This window comes from Homo sapiens, chromosome 7 (genome assembly GCF_000001405.40).
Source record: "Homo sapiens chromosome 7, GRCh38.p14 Primary Assembly".
In the NCBI taxonomy this organism is placed as follows: Eukaryota; Metazoa; Chordata; class Mammalia; order Primates; family Hominidae; genus Homo; species Homo sapiens.
Genome location: NC_000007.14, coordinates 97,845,872 through 97,851,676, shown reverse-complemented (window position 1 = coordinate 97,851,676; position 5,805 = coordinate 97,845,872). Strand labels below are relative to the sequence as shown.

At 39.8% G+C, this 5,805-nt stretch overlaps 1 annotated feature.

Moving 5' to 3' along the window:
• Positions 4,936–5,116: a silencer, noted in NCBI's record as "fragment chr7:97475873-97476053 (GRCh37/hg19 assembly coordinates)". NCBI's record gives its function as "represses an EF-1alpha promoter that drives an FKBP-Casp9 reporter gene in an ReSE screen in HepG2 liver carcinoma cells {active_cell/tissue: HepG2}" and the evidence as "EXISTENCE:reporter gene assay evidence [ECO:0000049][PMID:32094911]".

Sequence of the window (5,805 nt, the reverse complement as noted above, 5' to 3'; positions counted from 1 at the left end):
TTTTAGGCTTTGTGGACCTCTTTTGGAACTGTTCAGCTCTGCCATTATAGTGCAAAAGCAGTTACATAGGCAATATGTAAACAAACGAGCGTGGCCATGTTCTATTAAAAGTTACTTATGAAAGCAGATGGTGGGCCAGATACGGCCTGTGGGCCATAGTTAGTTGATTGCTGTTCTAGAGGAACAACTAAGCTAACTAAGCATTTCTGATGAAAGTCTAAACCTTTGTCAGATGAGTAGATTGCAAAAATTCTCTCCCATTCTGTAGGTTGCCTGTTCACTCTGATGGTAGTTTCTTTTGCTGTGCAGAAGCTCTTGAGTTTAATTAGATCCCATTTGTCAATTTTGGCTTTTGTTGCCATTGCTTTTGGTGTTTTAGACATGAAGTCCTTGCCCATGCCTATGTCCTGAATGGTAATGCCTAGGTTTTCTTCTAGGGTTTTTATGGTTTTAGGTCTAACATTTAAGTCTTTAATCCATCTTGAATTAATTTTTGTATAAGGTGTAAGGAAGGGATCCAGTTTTAGCTTTCTACATATGGCTAGCCAGTTTTCCCAGCACCATTTATTAAATAGGGAATCCTTTCCCCATTTTGGAATCTATTCATCTGTCAAAGGGCTAATATCCAGAATCTACAAAGATCTCAAACAAATTTACAAGAAAAAAAAAACCCCTTCAAAAAGTGGGCAAAGGATATGAACAGACACTTCTCAAAGGAAGACATTTATGCAGCCAACAGACACATCAAAAAATACTCATCATCACTGGCCATCAGAGAAATGCAAATCAAAACCACAATGAGATACCATCTCACACCAGTTAGAATGGTGATCATTAAAAAGTCAGGAAACAACAGGTGCTGGAGAGGATGTGGAGAAATAGGAACACTTTTACACTGTTGGTGGGACTGTAAACTAGTTCAACCATTGTGGAAGACAGTGTGGCGATTCCTCAAAGATCTAGAACTAGAAATACCATTTGACCCAGCCATCCCATTACTGGGTATATACCCAAAGGATTATAAATCATGCTGCTATAAAGACACATGCACACGTATGTTTATTGTGGCACTATTCACAATAGCAAAGACTTGGAACCAACCAAAATGTCCAACAATGATAGACTGGATTAAGAAAATGTGGCACATATACACCACGGAATACTATGCAGCCATAAAAAAGGATGAGTTCATGTCCTTTTTAGGGACATGGATGAAGGTGGAAACCATCATTCTCAGCAAACTATCACAAGGACAAAAACCCAAATGCTGCATGTTCTTAGTCGTAGGTGGGAATTGAACAATGAGAACACATGGACACAGGAAGGGGAACATCACACACCAGGGCCTGTTGTGGGCTACAGGGAGGGGGGAGGGATAGCATTAGGAGATATACCTAATGTAAATGTCAAGTTAATGGGTGCAGCACACCAACATGGCACATGTATACACATATGTAACAAACCTGTACATTGTGCACATGTACCCTAGAACTTAAAGTATAATTAAAAAAAAAAGTGAGTACCATAAAAAAAAGTCTAAACCTACTTGAAAGAGAAAGTACAATAACGCATTCAAAGAACAGGTAGAAGATTTTCATTTGAATGCTCATTGGTTGTTTAGGGACAACATTTTGAAATACATTATAAAGGTGAATTTAGTTCTTAGAAACTTTTGAAAAGGGAATTGCTGGTGTACAGATAAATACAAGGATGCTTAATAGAGGAGTGAGTAGGCAGAAAATTATCTGGTAAGTTGGAAGAAGGGTGTATTTTAGGCTACCCATAAGCCTGTATGATTTAAGAATATCGCTAAGAAAGTGAGGAAAGTCATTCATCTTAGATGACTTTTTTTTGTTTGTTTTTGTTTTGTTTTAGACAGTCTTGCTCTGTCACCCAGGCTGGAGTGCAGTGGCTTGATCTCAGCTCACTGTAACCTCCACCTCCTGGGATCAAGCAATTCTTGTGCCTCAGCCTCCCAAGTAGCTGGGATTACAGGCAGGTACCACTGTGCCAGCCAATTTTTGTGTATTTAGTAGAGATGGAGTTTCACCATGTTGGCCAGGCCAGTCTCAAACTCCTGGCCTCAAGTAATCTACCCACCTTGGCCTCCCAAATTGCTGGGACTACAGATGTTAGCCACTGCACCCGGGCCTAGTAGATGACTTTTAATGATAATCTTGTGTTTGTAGGTGCTTAAGTTGCCTAAACCTAGAATGATTTGATTCTAGGCATATTTATTCCTGGTAAAGCCTCAGACAGCCAAGCTAAATGACATCGAAAATACTTGGGAAACTTGGTTGAGAATGATTACACAGTGTACATGACAAGATTCATGTATGACATAAACCCCAAATTGCCAGTTTTCCAGGGAGTGGGGTCTGGCTCTAGATTTTTAACTTTAGTGACTGAGATTTGGCATATTTAGTTATCACCCAGAAGTTTGATAGTAAAGATACTTAGTTAAGCCAATTTCATAGCAGCAAACTATACGTCAATTATAATGGCAGCACCTTTCTGGATTTCAAACTACACACAAGGCTTATAGAAGGTTCTTGGCACAAAGAATAAAGCTAGCTTTTTCTCTTCTTTTGCAATTTAAATTATAGAAGATTTGAAGAAACGGCCCTTGAATTGTTGTACACATGACTTAATAGCTCACTTATTGGCTAAACCTGTTTTCCTGGATATTGGTAATTTAGTGCCAAGGAGGCACTAATCTACACAGCATCTCTAACAGCCAATAGTCCAGTTCTTTTGAGCATAAACTAAAAGATTATTAGCTGATGTCATTCTGCCATTTCAGTCTGATGTGAGCACTGTCGTGAATGACCCGCCCTTTAGAGGTTTATTTCACTTTCTCTTAAAATCTGCTAAAAGGTACCGTATAGTTTGACAGAATGATACACTTCTATTTTAAAAAAAAAGAAAAGTAAAATCCACCTAAAATCTACTTTTAAAGTTTTAACATTTTCTTGAAGATCTTTTGCTACAAAGGGACAATTGTATATGTGTGGTAGGTTATCTTGGTTGACATAAGGCCTGAAAGCTTCTTAAGTCCTTTACAAGGAAAAACATAAAAAGGAACTAACCTTAAGCCTATGATAGCCCAGTCTCCAGAGGATTATACTTTGTGGGAAATTTGCTTGTATTAGACTGTGATATGAACATCTTGAGCCCACGGAGTCAGAGCATGCTCCTGAATGCCTCCTGTCTTGGAATTGCCTTAGTTTGGTCTAGAATCTTTGATAAAGGATCATTGGACTAGGTCCCTAAGAAGGGAAAGTCTGGCCACGAAGAAGCAAAGTGGAAGCTGGGCAGGGAGGCAGTTATGTGTGGTTCTAGACTGTGCAGTGGAAAAATCAATACCAAGCATGTACTTTGCAGCTTTTCTAAGTACTTTTATTGTGTTAGCTCATTCCAATCTTAGGAAGTGTGGCAGATTTTATTTTCTAAAAGTGGCCATAGCAGTGTTCCTGGTCCCATGTACTCTTCCGGAGCCTGGCTGCCCCCGTGAAGAAGCAGCCTATTTCTTCTCTCCTTGAGCCTGGGCAAGATTTTGCAATTGCCTAGTAGTAGAATACAGTGGAAGCGATGCTGCATGACTTCTGAAACCAGGTCACAAAAAATGATGTAGCTTCTGCTTTCTCTCTTTTGATGTATAAGGAAGCCCAGGCCACGTGGAGAGGCTGTATGTGAGTTTGGGCTGACTCCCCTAGCAAAGGGCTTAGTCGACAGCCAACAGCAGCCACCAACTGCCAGCTGTGTCAGGGAGTGAGGCTCCAGATGGTTCCAGCTGCTAATCTTTGAGTATTCTACCTGGAGCCCATGCATGGGAAGGAGAGATGAGCCATCCCTGTTGTGTGCTCTGTCCAAGTTCTTCATTCACAAATCTGTGAGCATAATAAAAAAGCTTGTTTGACACCATTAAGTTTTGTGGTTTCTTACACAGGCATAGTAACTGAAACAGATGAACACTGTTACCCCCATTTTACACATATTAAATACGTTGCTCAGTCATTTGGCTAATTAGTAAGTGGTGGAACCTCAAATTAGCTAGGTAGGTTGACTGCAGAGCCTTTGAGTTGTTCTTTTCTAAATATTGTCTTGCAATGTCAGCCTGAAACTATATCCTGGGTCTCTGGTGTGAGTTGGGAGACTAAGGGAAAGGGCTTTTATTGGGAGCAAGAACAGGGATTGCAGGGAATCTCCCAGGGATGGCAGTGAGGCTAACTGTTTTCTGTAATGGCATGAGCTAGGTGATACTGAAAAAACAATTCCAAAATTTCAGTGCATTGTCACAAAAGGTTTTTTTTTTTTTTTCTCAAACTATGTGTCCACCTTAGCCCATGGGGGGCTCTGCACATTGTTGAGGGGGTTATAAGCACTCTGGAACCGAGGCTGATGGAGGGACGACCTTGACATAATTCCACCATCAGCAAGGCAGGGGATGGAGAAAGTGGTGAATTATTTACTGAAACTTAAAGCTTCCACTCTGAAGTGACACATCACTTTTGTTCACATTACATGTAAGTCACGTGGCCACACCTAACTTCAAAGGAGCATGTACCAGAAAGGAAAATAAAATATCTGGAGAATAGCACTAGTGACTCCCCAAATCTGCTCTTCGGTAACAAAATACTGAATTCACTCTCCTATGCAAGAAATATATTCACCCCCTTTGGAAGGTTACAACTGTGGAATTCCATTGTGCAAGGATTCCAAGCCCAGAGTTTAGGATCTCTGGGTGATGTACTTATGTGGAAATCTATTTCAGGGCTGGAGACGGCACTTCATGAACTAAGAAAAAAGTGATCTGCTCCCCATCTGTCCACTGCATAATTCAGCAGGAATAGAATAACTGCGGCAACAACAAAACATATTCAAAAAGAATAAAACAGAAGAAATATAGCAAGCCCTACTTAGGAGCAATTTTGACATCCTGTGGTCAGTCACTTGAGGGCCTCCAACTCCAGCAGAAAATTACCCTTCAGGGCTCATCAGCCGCCAAGTCATCAATGTGTTGGCAGAAGGAGGCAGATTGAAAGAACTGGGAGAATCAGTATCTGAGCACAGGTGAGAAAGGGAACAGTTTGTAGGGAAAGGGTTGATTTCGAGCAATAAAGCCAATTTGGCTCATACCATTATAATTGTGGTTATACAGAGTAAGTGTTAACATTAATTGGTTACCCTTCCTGAGTGCCAAGGACTGCTCTAAAAGGTATAATCAGTCTTCACAACAGTTTGTGAAGTTTGTTCCTTTGAGCTCATCCATGTTTTGTGGATAAGGAAAGCAACATACAGAGGTGTTACATTGCGTGCCTGAGGTCACATAGCTAACACCTAATAGAAGTGGGATATTGGATCCCAGGTTTCAGGGTTTTAGAGACCTTATGCTTAACCCCTACTCTGTGTTACTTTTCAAAGGGATAGACTATAGAATATAATTACATACATGGAAAAATTATAATTCCATATTTTTTCTCTACTTCTGTCTTGTTAATGGGAGTATATGGCCTATTTTATGGGTAGCTCATAAGTTATTTAGGATATCTATAAATTTAAGCATAAGATACTATTTTAATTTTTAAAATTTGCCATGAGCATGTATATGTATGCATCAGTGGAGTAATTTAGATCTTCTGTGACTTAGATGTGATTTTGATCTTTGTGAGTTTTTACCTGATTTCAGGACCTACCTAGTCAATAAATTGATACTGATAAATTAATTCATAGTCCTCTTTGCAACTTGGTGAATTTTTAATAATACTAAGAAAGCCATACCTAGAAATTGCCAGTATATTTTAC